The sequence below is a fragment of the Homo sapiens genome, chromosome 6 (assembly GCF_000001405.40).
Source record: "Homo sapiens chromosome 6, GRCh38.p14 Primary Assembly".
NCBI lineage: Eukaryota > Metazoa > Chordata > Mammalia > Primates > Hominidae > Homo > Homo sapiens.
Window position 1 is genome coordinate 152,484,816 of NC_000006.12, and position 17,636 is coordinate 152,502,451.

Below are 17,636 nucleotides of genomic sequence, written 5' to 3' on the forward strand. Positions count from 1 at the left end.
TAATTGTGGGAGAACTTACCCTGGAGGTCACTCTATCCCAAGATTGTTTTACCAATGCTTGGTCAAGTGACAATTTACCGTCTCTGTGTAATGGTTGTATTAAATGTTCAATCTGTTTCCTCTTCATTTCATATTGAACTCTGAAGTGCTTAAATGACTAAAAGAGGAAAAACAGCAACAGTATGGCAATGAGTCAAAAAAAGCAAAAGCAAAGGAAAGCACATTTCCTAAATAACAATCTTTTCTATTTGGATAACACTCAATATATGTTGTTGATAATAATAACGGTAGTTATGATACTAATAGCAGCTGTCATTCATCAAGCCCTGACATAGCTTGACCCTGTGCTAAGTGCTTTCTTCATATTATCCTCTCTGGTTCTCTCCATCACCCTACACATGCATTATTATTCTGAAGCCCAGAAATGACTTATCAAGGACAAGTAGTAGAGGTAGGACTAAAGCCTAGGATTTCTCATTTCTAGTAAAGTAATTTGTGTACCAGTATATGTTTGTCAGGAAATCATAGTAAACAGGAGTATAAATCTTAGCTAATAATCAAGATAGTTGCTTTACTTCAAGTACCAAACAATTTACAAATAGAAATTGCATATATCAAAATAATGCAGAATTAAAGCTGTCTAGATTTGTGTTTAAGTAAGCCTGCATAAAGAGGTTTACTTTAGGGGACCATGTTTACATGATAATCCTTTGCTTTAATTTCATGGTATTAAAATATTAAGTATATCACAGTACAGTTGACATCAATGTATTATATGTAGACTTAACTATAAGCTTAATGCTAACATTAAAACAATTTTTAAAGTTTTATATTTTACATTAACTAAATTAACCCATCCTAAAATATGACTCCAAATCTAAACATAAAATGAAAAGATAATTAAAATGTGCAATTATGTTACAGGAGAATGGCCCCACAAAAGTTAGCAGATAACACAACTAAAAGAATTTCAAAATTATAAACAAACATGTAAATTCACGTGAAGAACACTGGGGGGAGATAGTGAACTAGAATTTTATCTACAAGGTTTTCTTTCATTTTCTCTAACTGAATGGAATTTTAAAAATACCAAAACATAGGCTGGGCACGGTGGCTCACACCTGTAACCCCAGCACTTTTGGAGATCGAGGCGGGCGGATCATGAGGTCAAGAGATTGAGATCATCCTGGCCAACATGGTGAAAGCCCGTCGCCATTAAAAATACAAAAATTAGCTGAGCATAGTGGCGCATGCCTGTAGTCCCAGCTACTCAGGAGGCTGAGGCAGGAGAATCGCTTGAGCCTGGGAGGCGGAGGTTGCAGTGAGCTGAGATCACGATCATGCCACTACACTCCAGCTTGGCGACAGAGTGACACTCTGACTAAAAAAAATATTAAAAAAAACAACAAAAAAATAAATTTAAAAAAAAACAAAACATCAAATCAACTTTTAAATTTTATTCCACAGGATTCTGAGTGAAAAAACTGGAAAATGCAGCATTTGCTACAGATTGAAAGAGATTTAAAATGCTGATTACAGAATGTAAAGATGAAATGAAATTTTCCCTAAATTCAGATTTCAGAGAGACTCTAAACCCATTTTTATGAGACTAGTGATCACCTTCGGGCTGAAAGGAGGATTTCTGTTTTCTGTTTTCCTAAGCCTTTGTTTCCCTCATGAACTAGCATCTGTATAACAGATAGCTTTATAACTTGGAATTTATTTTTTGATAATTGGTGCCAAACCTAAACCTCATCAGTGGACTAAATAAGTATATTCACTCTGTTCTTGCAATTCTTTTCTCCATTTACTGGCTTAATCATTTTTTAATGGATCTCAGCCCAGAAAATTTTATTTTGGGGAAAAAAGCTTACACTGAATTTCAAAGCAAAAGAGTACATGCATATTAACCACATATTTATTGCTTTGCTAAGTTTGACAAATATAATATTGATGCTATCATCCACCTAAATTCAGGCATATTTTAAAGATACAATTATATAAAATCACTAATGCCATAGATAAATCTTTTGTCTACCATGTTGAAGTTCTCACTTCATTTGACCTTTTTCTGTAGCAGAAATGACTGAAATATGATGTCGAGTAGAATATATTACAGAATATAATTCAGAATATACTATATTTAATTTTGCCACTAAAAGGGACTGATGTTTTACATTGGGAAAAATGATAATGCTGCATCAAATAAATCACAATTTTTATTAATTTTTATTTTTTCTCCAACTTTTATTTTAAGTTCTAGGGTACATGTACAGGAAGATTTGTTACATAGGTAATCATGTGCCATGGTGGTTTGCTGCACAGATCAACCCATCATCTAGGTACTAAGCCCAGCATCCATTAGCTATTCTTCCTGATGCTCTCCTTCTCCCACTCCCCCACAGGCCCCAGTGTGTGTTGTTCCTCCATGTGTCCATGTGTTCTCATTGTTCAGCTCCCACTTATAAGTGAGAACACGCAGGGTTTGGTTTTCTGTTCCTGCATTAGTTTGCTGAGGATAATGACTTCCAGTTCCATCCATGTCCCTGCAAAGGGCATGATCTTGTTCCTTTATATGGCAGCCTAGTATTCCATGGTGTATATGTACCAGATTTTATTTCTCCAGTCTACATTGATGGGCATTTGGGTTGATTCTGTGTCTTTGCTATTGAAATCACACTTTGTAAATGGGAATAAACTGTGTTTTGTGTCTTGGAAGTGAAAATCAGAAGCAGAAGTCCAATTAATGACACTGTAGTCAGACTGGAGAAAAACATTAACTCTGAGCTCAACTTGAATGCAATGGTGTTGGACTAGGCAGGTCGCAGTCGAAACTGATCCCTTTAATGGACCCTCCAATACTCATGTTGCAATCCTTTGTTAAATTCAGTTTATTTTATACTAATTTTCAATTTGACTCAACTCTTTGTTCTTGGTAGATTTTTGGGTTAGGTGAGATCTATAAGATCATGAGTTCTGGCCGGGCATGGTGGCTCACGCCTGTAATCCCAGCACTTTGGGAGGCCGAGGCAGGTGGATCCCGAGGTCAGGAGATTGAGACCATCCTGGCTAACATGGTGAAACCCCATCTCTACTAAAAATACAAAAAATTAGCCAGGTGTGGTGGTGGGTGCCTGTAGTCCCAGCTACTCAGGAGGCTGAGGCAGGAGAATGGTGTGAACCCAGGAGGCAGAGCTTGCAGTGATCCAAGATCACGCCATTGCACTCTAGCCTGGGAGAGAGAGTGAGACTCCGTCTCAAAAAAAAAAAAAAATCATGAGTTCTATAAACACAATGACTCTGCATTTGTTTTCCAAGTCATCTATAAGACTGAGTTATGGAAAAGTGATGAAGCCTCAGTGCTCCATATATAGTGTGGACACAATGCAACTTAAGACTATCTACATAAGTTAGAAATACAATTATTAAATTATATGCAAACTTAGGGTAATGAATGTTATGTCTTTAAAGACTTTTCTCATTAATGTAATTTGAAGCATTAAATGGAGATCAAATGACATATATAAATATTAGTCAAAAATAGCTTTTGAAAAATTCAAAAATCTTCTCCATACAATACCTGATATTTATCCTGTAAATTTGATTCCACCATCTGTGCTCTTGTCAAATCTCTCTCAAATTGTTCTATCCAAACTTTCATTTCCTTAAAAATTACTCTGTCTTCTCTCTGGAAATGAGGAGACATTACAATTTTATTAGTATCTGTGCATTTATTTAATTGCTGATTAATACTTGACTGATTCTAGAAGAGACTTAATATTTAGTAAGTCCCAACTGTCTCTGAAAAATTTCCTTTCTCCTTACCCCCACCTTTAGGACAGTAAGAAGCAAAAGTTAACTCTAGAAAAGTATCTTAGTTATCTTATTGAATAACGAAATTAACCAACTCCATTTTTTTTTTGCCAAGTAACGCTAATTTAATAAAGAAAATGTGACCAGGAGGGAATTTCCTAAGTACACAAATAATAAGAGTAATAGCTGGAGTAGAAACACAGTCCTGTGGGTTGCTTCCTACCCAAAGCCATTGGTAACCCAGAAGACAGTTCTAGATGGGATTCATTTTGACTGAATTTGAGGAGTTACACCCAGAATACCATTGGGTGACTTGTCTATATTACTATTTAAACTGATATTAGGTATTACAATCTCCATGTGGACAGAAAACACATTTATCTTGTTCAACACAGTATTCCTAGACCCTGGGAACATAATACCTATTAGAGATTTATCAAGTTATTTGGTGAATAAATGTATCCAGGTCACCACTCATCTCAAAAATGAAAAATAAAATTGGGATTTTCATACTTATTTTCACAAATAATGACAAGGGCCATTCTATAATAGCACTGATTTAGTGAAAATATCCTAACTTTTCATCAAGATGTAGTGTCTCATAAGAATGCCAAGTATTCATAATCATACCGTACATGATTTTTCGGCATTTACAAAATGCAACTCCAGCATCTCACTTGCTGCTGACAGTGCTGTGACACAGGTAAAATGACTGTCCCCCTTGGCAGGTGATGTTTCCGAATGGAAAGAATGCCATTTATGGAGGCAGGCTAAACTGGGTTTCAAATTCTGGCTTTGCCATGCATTAGCTCTGTGAGCTTGGTGTGTCTTTTTTTTTTTTTTTTTTCGTTAACCTCTCTACTGTCATACTACAGGATGTACTAAAGGGTGTGTTAAATCATCACGGACCCTTTCAATTGTTTTGCTGAGAATTAGAGGTAATCTATGTAGCATGTCCAGTACAGAGGTTGTCACATTCTCATGATCCATGCCTTCTCTCACTTTCTTGTCTTGCAAAAGCAGTTGTCTTCTGCCTAAACACTTACCACATTTTCCCTTGGATAATGCCTTTTTCAGAACTCGGCTCAGGCACAACCTACTCTAGGAAGATTTTCTAACCCAGAAGTCTGAGTGAGGGCATCTGTTTCCTATGCCAGTGGTTCTCTCACTTAGTACACACTAGAAATCATCTGAGGGGCTTATAAAAACACAAATTGCTGGGCACCACCCCCAGAGTTTCTGGCTGAGTGGATGTGGGGTAGAGCCAAAAATCCGTATGTCTAAGTTCCCAGGTGAATCTGATGCTGCTGGTGAAGGAATCATATATTGAGAACACTTCTCTATGATCCTGTGACAACCTCAGCGCTAATATTCACCCAAATGCATTATATAAAGTCAGCCCTCTGTTTTCTTAGATTCAATCAATAGCAGATTGAAAATATTCAGAAAATAAACAATAAAAATAACAATACAGCAATAAAGATAATACAAACAAAATACAACACAGTATAACAGCTATTTAAATAGCATTTACTTTGTGTTAGGTATTATACATAATCTACAGATTAAAGTATATGGGAGGATATGTGTAGGTTATATGCAAATACTACACTATTTTATATCAGGAACCTGAGCATCATAAATTTTGCTATCTTGGGGGTCCTGGAACCAATCACTTGTGAATATCTAGGAACAACTACACAAAATCCTTGTCAGGCCTCTGAGCCCAAGTCTGCACGTATATATCCAGATGGCCTGAGGCAACTGAAGAACCACAAAATAAGTGAAAATGGCTGGTTCCTGCCTTAACCGATGACATTCCACCATTGTGATTTGTTCCTGCCCCATCCTAACTGATCAATTGATCTTGTGAAATTCTTTCTCTGGACAATGAATCTCGGAAGCTCCCCATTCAGCACCTTGTAACCCCTGCCTCTGTCTGCAAGAGAAAAACCCCCTTTGACTGTAATTTTCCACTACCCTCCCAAATCCTATAAAACTGCCCCACCCCTATCTACCTTTTTCGGACTCAGTCTGCCTGCACTTGGGTGATTAAAAAGCTTTATTGCTCACACAAAGCCTGTTTGTTGGGCTCTTCACACGGACACACGTGACATTTGGTGCTGAAGATCTGGGACAGGGGGATTCCTTCAGGAGACCAGTCCCCTGTCCTCACCCTCACTCCATGAGAAGATCCACCTATGACCTTGGGTCCTCAGGCCAGCCCAAGGAACATCTTACCAATTTCAAATCGGGCAAGCGGTCTTTTCACTCTCTTCTCCAGCTTCTCTCGCTACCTTTCAATCTCCCTGTCCTTCCAATTCCAGTTCTTTTTCCTCTCTAATAGAGACAAAGGAGACACATTTTATCTGTGGACACAAAACTCCAGCGTGGGTCACGGACTTGGGAAGACAGTCTTCCCTTGGTGTTTAATCACCGTGTGGATGCCTGCCCTGATCATTCACCCACATTCCACTGGTGTCTGATCACTGTGGGGATGCCTGCCTGATTATTCACCCACATTCCACTAGTGTCTGATCACTGTGGGGATGCCTGCCTGATTATTCACCCACATTCCACTAGTGTCTGATCACTGTGGGGATGCCTGCCTGATTATTCACCCACATTCCACTAGTGTCTGATCACTGTGGGGACGCCTGCCTTGGTCATTCACCCACATTCCCTTGGTGGCAAATCAATTGTGGAGACGCCTGCTTTGGCTGCTCACCCACATTACAGCCCAGGGCTGCTCACCACCCCCTTCTCTGTGTCTCTACCTTTCTCTTTAAACTTACCTCCTTCACTATGGGCAAGCTTCCACCCTCCATTCCCCCTTCTTCTCCCTTAGCCTGTGTTCTCAAGAACTTAAAACCTCTTCATCTCACGCCTGACCTAAAACCTTACTGCCTTATTTTCTTCTGCAACACTGCTTGGCCCCAATACAAACTCAACAATGGTTCTAAATGGCCAGAAAACAGCACTTTTGATTTCTCCATCTTACAAGACCTGGATGATTTTTCTTGAAAAATGTGCAAATGGTCTGAGATGCCTGACATCCAGGCATTCTTTTACACATCAGTCCCTCCCTAGTCTCTGCTCCCAGTGCGACTCATCACAAATCTTCTTTCTCTCCTGTCTGTTCCTTCAGTCTCCACCCCAAGCTCTGAGTCCTTTGAATCCTCCTTTTCTATGGACCCATCTGACCTCTCCCCTCCTCACCAGGCTGCTCCTCACCAGGCTGAGCCAGGTCCTAATTCTTCCTCAGCCTCCACTCCCCAGCCCTATAATCCTTCTATCACCTCCCCCTCCTCCCACCCTGTCTGGCTTATAGTTTTGTTCCACGACTAGCCCTCCCCAACCTGCCCAACGATTTCCTCTTACAGAGGTGGCTGCAGCTCAAGGCAGAGTCAAGGTTAACCCTCCTTTTTCTTTATCTGACCTCTCTCAAATCAGTTAGTGTTCAGGCTCTTTTTCGTCAAGTATAAAAGCCCAGCCCAGTTCATGGCCTGTTTGGCAACAACCCTTAGATGCTTTGCCGCCCTAGACCCAGAGGGGCCAGAAGGCCGTCCTATTCTCAATATGCATTTTACTACTCAACCCACTCCCAACATTAGAAAAAGCTCCAAAAATTAGATTCTGGCCCTCAAACCCCACAACAAGACTTAATCAATCTCGCCTTCAAGGTGTACAATAATAGAGAAGAGTCAGCCAAGCGGCAACTTATTTCTGAGTTGCAATTACTTGCCTCCACTGTGAGAGAAACCCCAGCCACATCTCCAGCACACAAGAACTTCAAAATACCTAAACCACAGTGGCCAGGCATTCCTCCAGGACCTTCTCCCCCAGGATCTTGCTTCAAGTGCTGGAAATCTGGCCACTGGGCCAAGGAATGACCACAGCCTGGGATTCCTCCTAAGCCATGTCCCACTTGTGCAGGAACCCACTGGAAATAGGACTGTCCAACTTGCCTGGAAGCCACTCCCAGAGCCCCTGGAACTCTGGCCCAAGGCTCTCTGACTGACTCCTTCCCAGATCTTCTCAGCTTAGCGGCTGAAGACTGACACAGCCCAATCACCTCGGAAGCCTCCTGGACCATCACAGATGCTTTAGGTAACTCTTAGAGTGGAGTGTAAGTCCATACCCTTCTTAATCAATACGGAGGCTACCCACTCCACATTACCTTCTTTTCAAGGGCCTGTTTACCTTGCCCCCATAACTGTTGTGGATATTGATGGCCAGGCTGCTGGGCCCTTTAAAACTCCCCCACTCTGGTGTCAACTTGGAAAACAGTCTTTTATGCCTCTTTTTTAGTTATCCCCATCTGCCCAGTTCCCTTATTAGATCAAGACATTTTAAGTGAATTATCTGCTTCTCTGACTATTCCTGGGCTACAGCCACATCTCATTGCTACCCTTTCCCCTGTTCAAAACCTCCTTCATGTCTTCCTCTTGTATCCCCTGCACCTGAACCCACAAGTATGAGACAACTCTACTCCCTCCCTAGCAATTGACCACATGCCCATTACTATCCCATTAAAATCTAATCATCCTTACCCTGCTCAACACCAGTATCCCATCCCACAACAGGCTTTGAGAGGACTAAAGCCTGTCCAGGATCTTCACCTTATCAAAAAAATTGTCTTGCCTATCCACCCCGTGGTGCCAAACCCATATACTCTCCTATCCTCAATACCTCCCTCCACAACCCCTTATTCTGTTCTGGATTTCAAAGATGCTTTCTTTGCTATTCCTTTACACCCTTCATCCCAGCCTCTCTTCGCTTTCATTTGGACTGACCCTGATACCCATCAGTCTCAGCAACTTACCTGGGCTGTACTGCTGCAAGGCTTCAGGGACAGCGCCCATTACTTCAGTCAAGCCCTTTCTCATACTTTACTTTCTTTCTGTCCATCTGCTTCTCACCGTATTCAATATTTTGACAACCTTCTACTTTATAGCCCCTCCTACAGATCTTCCCAACAGGACATCCTCCTGCTCCTCCAACATCTATTCTCAAAAGGATAATGCAACTCCCCCGTCAAAGGCCAAATTTCTTCCTCATCCATTACCTATCTCAGCATAACTCTTCATAAAAGCACATATGCTCTCCCTGTTGATCGTGTCCGGCTAATCTCCCAAACCCCAACCCCTTCTACAAAGCAACAACTCCTTTCCTTCCTAGGCATAGTTAGGTACTTTCGCCTTTGGATATCTGTTTTTGCCATCCTGACTAAACCATCATACAAAAGGAAACCTAGCTGACCCCATAGATCCTAAATCCTTTCCCCACTCGTCTTTCCGTTCCTTAAAAACTGTCCTAAAAGCTGCTCACACACTAGCTCTCCCTAACTCATCCCAACCCTTTTCATTACACGCAGCCAAAGTACAGGACTGTGCAGTCAGAATTCTTACACAAGAGCCGGGACTGCACTCTGTAGCCTTTCTATCCGAACAACCTGACCGCACAGTTCTGAGCTGGCCTTCATGTCTGTATGCAGTGACAGCCACCGCTTTAATACTTTTAGAGGCCATCAAAATCACAAGCTATGCTCCATTTACTCTACAGTTCCCATAACTTTCAAAATCCATTTTCCTCCTCACACTTGATGCGTATACTTTCTGCTCCCTAGCTCCTTCAACTGTACTCACTATTTGTTGAATCTCCCACAATTACCATTGTTCCTGGCCTGGACTTCAATCTGGCCTCCCACATTATTCCTGCTACCACACCTGACCCCCATGATTGTATCTCTCTGATCCACCTGGCATTCACTCCATTTCCCCATATTTCCTTCTTTCCTGTTCCTCACCCTGATCACACTTGGTTTATTGATGGCAGTTCCACCAGGCCTAATTGCCACTCACCAGCAAAGGCAGGCTATGCTATAGTATCTTCCACATCTATCATTCAGGCTACTGCTCCGCCCTCCTCCACTACCTCTCAGCAAGCCAAACTCATTGCCTTAACTCAGGCCCTCACTCTTGCAAAGGGACTACACGTCAATATTTATACTGACCCTAAATATGCCTTCCATATCCTGCACCACCATGCTGTTACATGGGCTGAAAGAGTTTTCCTCACCATGCAAGGGTCCTCCATCGTTAATGACTCTTTAATAAAAACTCTTCTCAAGGCTGCTTTACTTCCAAAGGAAGCTGGAGTCCTTCACTGCAAAGGCCATCAAAAAGCCTCAGACCCCATTGCTCAAGGCAACAATTATGCTGATAAGACAGCTAAAGAAGCAGCCAGTATTCCTACTTATGTCCCTCATGGCCAGTTTTTCTCCTTCTCATCAGTCACTCCTACTCACTCTCCCACTGAAGTTTCCACCTATCAATCCCTCCCTACTCAAGGCAAATAGTTCTTTGACCAAGGAAAATTCCTCCTTCCAGCCTTACAGCTCATTCCATTCTATCGTTTTTCATAACCTCTTCCATGTAGGTTACAAGCCACTAGCCCTCCTCTTAGAACCTCTCATTTCCTTTCCATCATGGAAATCTATCCTCAAGGAAATCACTTCTCAGTGTTCCATTTGCTATTCTCCCACTCCTCAGGGAGTTCGCCCCTGCCCAGGATTGGCAGATTGACTTTACCCACATGCCCCGAGTCAGGAAACTAAAATACCTCTTGGTCTGTGCAGACACTTTCACTGGATGGGTAGAGGCCTTTCCCTCAGGGTCTGAGAAGGCCACCGCGGTCATCTCCTCCCTTCTGTTGACATAATTCCTCAATTTAGCCTCCCGCTCTACCCAGTTGTCCCATCAATCCCCATTACAACTTCTAATGGCTGCTGCCCTAGCTGGATCCCTAGTGTTAGATATGAGTTCTAAATTTCTTTTCAAAGAATCAATATGTCAGTAGGTTCAATTCTTTGCCTTCTACTTTTAAACTTAACTTCCTCGTAAAGCAAACTTTTTCAATTACCTGCTCCACCCTGACTCATTTCAATCACCTGCTCCACCCTGACTCATTCCGATTACCTGCTCCACCCTGACTCATTCTGATTACCTGTTCCACCCTGACTCATTCCAATGACCTGCTGTCATAACCATTTTTCCTGCCAAACCACTCACCCTGTCACTCTCTTTAAATTAGCCAATTGAAATTAGTTTAGCCTGTGCGGTCTAACCCTAGCCAATAGGGGAAGGACGCAGCAGCAGGGGCCACGTGCATCAGGGATAAGAACCCCTTCCCGTCCCTTGTCCAAGTGTGTGCTCACCATTGCTCCATCTGTAAGGGTGCAACCTTCTATAGAAGTAACTTGCCTTGCTGAGAATTAAAAAGAAAATTTTATATTCGAGTGCTATTTCTTTTGTGGCACAGAAACTTCATATATAATACTAGGAGTCTGGGTACAAGACACCTCTTTTAGTGCTCTTTCTCATTTTTTCACTTTGCATTTCCAGTGTTGCACAAGGTCTCTTCTTCTGTGACTCCTCTACCTACATGTGTCTACCTGCTAATAGGACAGGCACGTGCACACTAGTTTTCCTTACTCCCAAAATTCAATTTGCAAATAGGACTGAACAGCTTCCTCTTCCCCTCATGACACCAACACTTCACCACTATTTTGTTTTATTTTTCTTATTAATATAGAAGACAGGAATAGGCCTCGACTTACTGCTGAAAAAGGAGAACTCTGTATATTTTTAAATGAAGAGTGTTGTTTTTACCCAAATCAATCTGGCCTGGTGTATGACAACATAAAAAAACTCAAGGATAGAGTCCAAAAACTTGCCAACCAAGCAAATAATTACGCTGAACCGCCTTGGGCACTCTCTAACTGGATGTCCTGGTTCCTCCCAATTCTTAGTCCTTTATTACCTCTTTTTCTCCTTCTCTTATTCAGACCTTGTGTCTTCTGTTTAGTTTCTCAATTCACACAAAACCACATCCAGGCCATCACCAATCATTCTATATGACAAATGCTCCTTCTAACAACCCCACGATATCACCCCTTACCCCAAAATCTTTCTTCAGTTTAATCTCTCCCACTCTAGGTTCCCACATCAGCCCAATCCTGCTCGAAGCAGCTCTGAGAAACATCCCCCACAAATTTTCAATGCCCCAACACTTCACCACTATTTTGTTTTGTTTTTCTTATTAATATAAGAAGACAGGAATGTCAGGTCTCTGAGTCCAAGTCTGCACGTATACATTCAGATGGCTGAGGCAACTGAAGAACCAGAAAAGAAGTGAAAATGGCTGGTTCCTGCCTTAACCGATGACATTCCACCATTGTGGTTTGTTCCTGCCCCACACTAACTGGTCAAGTGACCTTGTGAAATTCTTTCTCCTGGACAATGAATCTCGGAAGCTCCCCACCGAGCACCTTGTAACACCTGCCCCTGTCTGCAAGAGAAAAAACCCCTTTGACTGTAATTTTCCACTACCCACCCAAATCCTATAAAACTGCCCCACCTCTGTCTCCCTTTGCTGACTCCTTTTTCAAACTCAGTCTGCCTGCACTTGGGTGATTAAAAAGCTTTATTGCTCGTACAAAGCCTGTTTGGTGGGCTCTTCACATGGACACGTTTGACACTCCTTATGTATCTTTTTAATCTCCATCATCTAACACAGTGTCTGGCACTCAGAATCACTCAATATATGATTGCAGAATAAGCAATAAGTTAGAAACTCAGTTAAAAGTAGAAAGAAATGGAACTGGAGCCCAAGACTACAAAGCTTCAATTCTTCCCAGGATGTCTTTTCTGAATGAACAGGTGAATATAATTAAGGTACATGTTTTATTATCAGTTGATTCTCATGCCCAGAAAAGCATTGATACCACATTCTTATGAGCTCAGAGAGAAAACTTGTTCTTGATGTGTACCCAAGGTACCAGAGGTCAGTGTGGCCACCAGAAGTGACCCATCTAACAGTGAGCACAAGACTTCATTGTGAGCCTGAGGACAGGCTGCTCACCAACTTCTGGATTTAAAAAGCACTTGACTGCCCTGAAGAGGAGCTATTTGTTATACAAAGTCATCTGAGAGAAAAGGGTTATGTTCTTAAAATAACTTTATTAGAGCCTATTTAGTAAATGACTTTCTAATGGTTGGAAAGTGTCTAGCAGATTGCAATAAGGTGAGAAGGATGTCGCTATTTATATACTCAACATTCTCCTTTCTAAGAGAAAAATGAAGTACAAAACAATATTTATAGCCCATTAGTCTAGGGCTTTTCTTCAACTGATAACTTTCACACACATTCAGAAGACGTGGCAACCTATTGCTTATATCTAAATTCCAAGCAGCTATACTGCCAGCATTCTCTCTACTTTTTCTTTCACTTTATTGTTTTTCTTTCTCTCTCATTCACTCATACACACACACACACAAACACAGACACATAAGTCACATTTACATTTGTGTACCATGTTCACATATACATAACCTCATACTTTATGGAGCATGATATTTAAAAAATTTACTATCTGATATGAAATTAGTTGCTTCTGATTTTTCTATTCCAATGTTGATATAAATACAAATATCCTTAACCTGTGGCCTAGATGGAACATAAAGAAAAACGGAAAAGCTGAAATATGGGACATGCATTCAATAACTTGGATATGGACAGGAATTCATAACCATTCATTCTGCTAATATCTTTTGAGCACCCATGACATGTCATGAATTTTACTAAACCATGAGACCGAATACTGAGCAGAAGAGAGTGAGGAAACTCAGACTGACAAGCTGATCGAATACTTACCTTGTTCATTGATTCTCTGCTAACATTTTAAGATACAAAACTAAACCTTTATTTTGTTTTTATTTTCTGTGTCACATTTAAAGACACCATACGTAGTTACTGTAAGTCCTTTTTATTAGTGTTATTAAGTATTATAAAGAAGAAATTAATTGATAGATACCATTTTATAATGAAAGATTAATGGGCAAGTCCATGGGAGTAGCTTAGACTATCACTAACATTTGGTAACACATATGTATGTTATTTGTTCTGTTAGAAAGGAAACGCAAATGATGTGATTAAAGTATTAAGAGAAATGTATACATAAAGACAAAAACATGCAAGGGAATGACTAAAATGCTACAGAATGCAGGATGTTTGAAAGAGGTCATCAATGCAAGATTACTTAAATCTTACCTTAAAATTTTGTACAGAATTTGCAAAAGATGGGAAACCTGGAAGTATTTCCTAACAATATGAAAAGATAATATATAGAAATATAATATAAATCAGGGTCAAAAATTATTTAGAAAACAAGAATAAAATCAATGGAAAGGCATCCGCCTTTAGAGAAATAGGCAATCATTTCAAGGGTATATTTACTTTAAGACATTTTCATAGCTTTTGAAACTACAAAAATATTCAACTCCAATAAGGCAACATCATTTCCTAGAATATCACATTTTTAACTTGAAATAGTCATATGTAGCTATATATTTTGTAAACATATCTCGAAATAACATTAAATATTTTAGAAGGTAAACTATGTAAAGAAGAGGTATATGGACTCATATTACTTTCCCTATAAATATACACAGCACACATGTTTCTTTGTCCTCATAAGAATTAAGAATGTGTTGTGCTTCTTAGGGCAGTCAGGAATGTTTGTTGCAATGGAAGAACAGATGGGTGAAAAAATAAATGAAAGTTTAGAAGGTGAATGAGATAAGCCAATAGACCTATTTTATTTATTTATGACTGAGTGCTAATTATTCAAGAAATATCTTAAGGGGAAAAGTTCATCAGTTTTATTGGATGAGATTAAAAAAACCCATGGTGATGTCGATTTTCAGTAAGAAAATCATATTTAAAATGGTATCGATAAAATACTTAATTCAAATAAAATCACAAAGGGGATATATAAATCAAATACACACAAAAATGAAAGCCTGGTAGATATGTTCATGCCAAGAATTTTTAAAAAAATGAATTAAGAGAGTAAGAGCTGAGTGACAAATACTGAGTACTTTGAGGTGAGGGCTCAAAACTAATACGCATAGTTTACAAAATATTAAAGGTTCACTAGACAGAATTAGGTTACCATTAACTGTTAAATATAAGCCCTATGTCATAACAAAAAAATACATTATTCAAAATATTCAGTTTTAGATGTTTATGTACTACATGACAAATGCCACTAAAAAAGGGCGAAGCTTCCAATACATTTTCCTCAAAATTAATTTTTGAGATAATAAGCCTGAATAAATCATATGCATCCTCTTTTTAGGAAAGGGATAGAGGGAATTTTTTTAACGACCAGAATTTATTTTCTGGATGATTAAAGTAACCTCTGAAAATAATAAAGCTTCTTTAGTAAAGTATATTAAAAAGCCTATATCAATAGATTGTGTGTTTCGAATCTCTAAGGATTTTTGCATTAAACTCCTGCTCATGAGCATTAACTAAAGCATCTCCTTTTGTTTTTTTAGATGCTTCCAGCCACTCAGTTTACTAATCTGGAGAGATGATTAATGTCAGAGACTCTAAAACAGTAAAACCTCAGACACCAAATTAGATATAAATCCATCTGGGTAATATAAGGACTTCACGTATAAAAACCAGATGGAAGTTTGGATGGATTTTCTCTGTGCTATATGAGGTAAGTCTAATGTGTTTTCTTATAGAGTTTCTTATTCACACAGCAATATTATCAAAACCCAGCAAGCCCCAGATGACTCCAAAATATTTGCATCAATCCATGCCAGCATTTGCACATGGAGTCTTTGCTTTAGCCATTTGTGGTGCTTTTTAGAAACAATTACTTTACTAGTAATAACTATAGTTAAGTCACGCTGGTGGCCAATGTTTGTGCCCCAATCCTGGCAAGGAACAAAAGAGGTTCCCTGAACTTATTGTTTTTAAGAAGCTAACATATTTCTATCAAATGCCAAATTAATTTCATTTAGAGACCTAGGAAACAGTAGTTACCTCTATTTTGCTTATTCTTTTATGAAGTCACTGATTTCTAACTATTGGCGTGATGTCTACTTGTAAGCTTTTGGTTATGCTCCTTAGCCTTTTTCTTCTTTATATATGTTTCTAAGTCTATTTAGAAAACATATTGACCAGGTGTGGTGGCTCACGCCTGTAATCCCAGCACTTTGGGAGGCCGAGGTGAGAGGATCATGAGGTTAGGAGATCAAGACCATCCTGGCTAACACAGTGAAACCCCGTCTCCACTAAAAAATACAAAAAAATTAGCCGGGCGTGGTGGCGGGCGCCTGTAGTCCCAGCTACTTGGGAGGCTGAGGCAGGAGAATGGCATGAACCTGGGAGGCGGAGCTTGCAGTGAGCCGAGATCGCACCACTGCACTCCAGCCTGGGTGACAGAGTGAGACTCCATCTCAAAAAAAAAAAAAAAAAGAAAACATATTTTACATTTTTTGGTTTTCTTATTACTCTTCATTGTCATCTCAAATTGCTCTGAAAACTCCAGTTGAGACCTGAACAGTGAAGACAGACAGTTTTTCACACATCTTGAAAATTCCATTTCTTATTTTTCCTGATGTCATTTGCCTTATAATTATTTTTTTCAGGAAGAAAGGAGAAAGGAAGAGGAGGAGCAACTTCTAATTAATTTAAAATTCCGCAGTGAATCCACCTCTCTATGTAATTAAAAATAGAATACAATACTACTTCAAAAATATTAAAAGAATGGTCATGTCCGTTGTTTAAAAAAACAGGAAAACAGGCAGTCTGGTGTCTTGGAGTGTGAAATAGGACAAACTTTCTGGTTGGAGTGTGAAATAGGACAAACTTTCTACAAGGCAACACGAAAAACATTTTTAAAAGCATTAAAATTTTGTATGCCCTTTAGCCTAGGAATTCCACTTCTAAAGAAGAATCTTGGCCAGGCGTGGTGGCTCATGCCTGTGATCCCAGCACTTTGGGAGGCAGAGGCAGGCAGATCACTTGAGGTCAGGAGTCTGAGACTAGCCTGGCCAACATGTGAAACCCAATCTCTACTAGAAACAGAAAACAATAGCTGGGCATGGTGATGTGCAACTGAAATCACAGCTACTTAGGAGGCTGAGGCAGGAGAATTGTTTGAACCCGGCTGGCAGAGGTTGCAGTGAGCCAAGATTGTGCTACTGCACTCCAGCCTGGGCGAAAGAGCAAGACTCCATCTCACAAAAAAAAAAAAAAGGAAAGAATCTCGGAACAATGTTTTATTACAAGATTGTTCATAAAAGCATTGCTTATAACAACAAAAATTATAAATTAAAACAAGATTGAGTAATAAATTAATGTACATACATAAGTTGACCTGCAGAATTCTTTATAATGTTCATGGAAGAAGAAAATTATAAAATTGTATGGATACCATAATTCTATTTTTATTAAAATATTGTATGTATCTGCCATATATAATACAAATGTTGGGAATTAACATCAACATATTAATTTTTCTCTAGTATAGGTTCTCTCTAGAAGGTCAAATACAGAAAATTTTTTCCTTTTCCTTTTTTTCTTGATTTAAAAAATTTATGACAATTAACATATGTAATTTGAGCAGCATGAAAAATGTTAATGTTATTTAAATTATTTAAAGGCTGAAAAATCTAATGACAGTGAATAATTAGAACTTTTACAAATTGCGTCTTACTTCCATATGTTTGCTGTCAATAGATGTAATAAAATCCAAAAGTCAAAATTAGATTTGATCAGATCAACCAGAGCGAGGGGATTAAAGATCTAGATGTGCAAATGCTATGACAGAAATACAATTACTTCAATTCTCAGATCACTAAGATGGAGTTCCCAACACTGCTATCTTTTCTCAGTTTTAGTGTACCAGCATCACATACCTTACATTTGTTATTAGCAATGCTTTCTCTAATATATCC

The 17,636-nt window shown here is 39.4% G+C and overlaps 1 protein-coding gene across 46 annotated transcripts in view, besides 1 other annotated feature; it reads right to left on the reverse strand.

The window, feature by feature from the left end:
- The window catches only part of SYNE1 (spectrin repeat containing nuclear envelope protein 1), a 515,676-nt gene that overhangs the window by 363,129 nt on the left and 134,911 nt on the right, over window positions 1-17,636 (reverse strand). For 40 of the 46 annotated variants that reach the window (XM_047418508.1, XM_017010610.2, XM_017010609.2 and 37 more), the window contains 3 exons: window positions 13,927-13,977; window positions 3,581-3,688; window positions 20-157 (listed from right to left, as the gene is read on the reverse strand). In XM_047418508.1, coding sequence (XP_047274464.1) covers window positions 20-157; window positions 3,581-3,688; window positions 13,927-13,977 — 297 coding nt within the window. The remainder of the gene's footprint in view (window positions 1-19; window positions 158-3,580; window positions 3,689-13,926; window positions 13,978-17,636) is intronic. The other 6 variants (XM_047418504.1, XM_047418503.1, XM_047418510.1 and 3 more) reach the window with 1 other exon arrangement.
- Window positions 5,734-6,933: an enhancer, noted in NCBI's record as "CDK7 strongly-dependent group 2 enhancer chr6:152811684-152812883 (GRCh37/hg19 assembly coordinates)". NCBI's record gives its function as "activates an origin of replication core promoter dependent on BRD2, BRD4, P300/CBP, MED14 and CDK7 cofactors, with strong dependence on CDK7, by STARR-seq in HCT116 cells {active_cell/tissue: HCT116}" and the evidence as "EXISTENCE:reporter gene assay evidence [ECO:0000049][PMID:35650434]".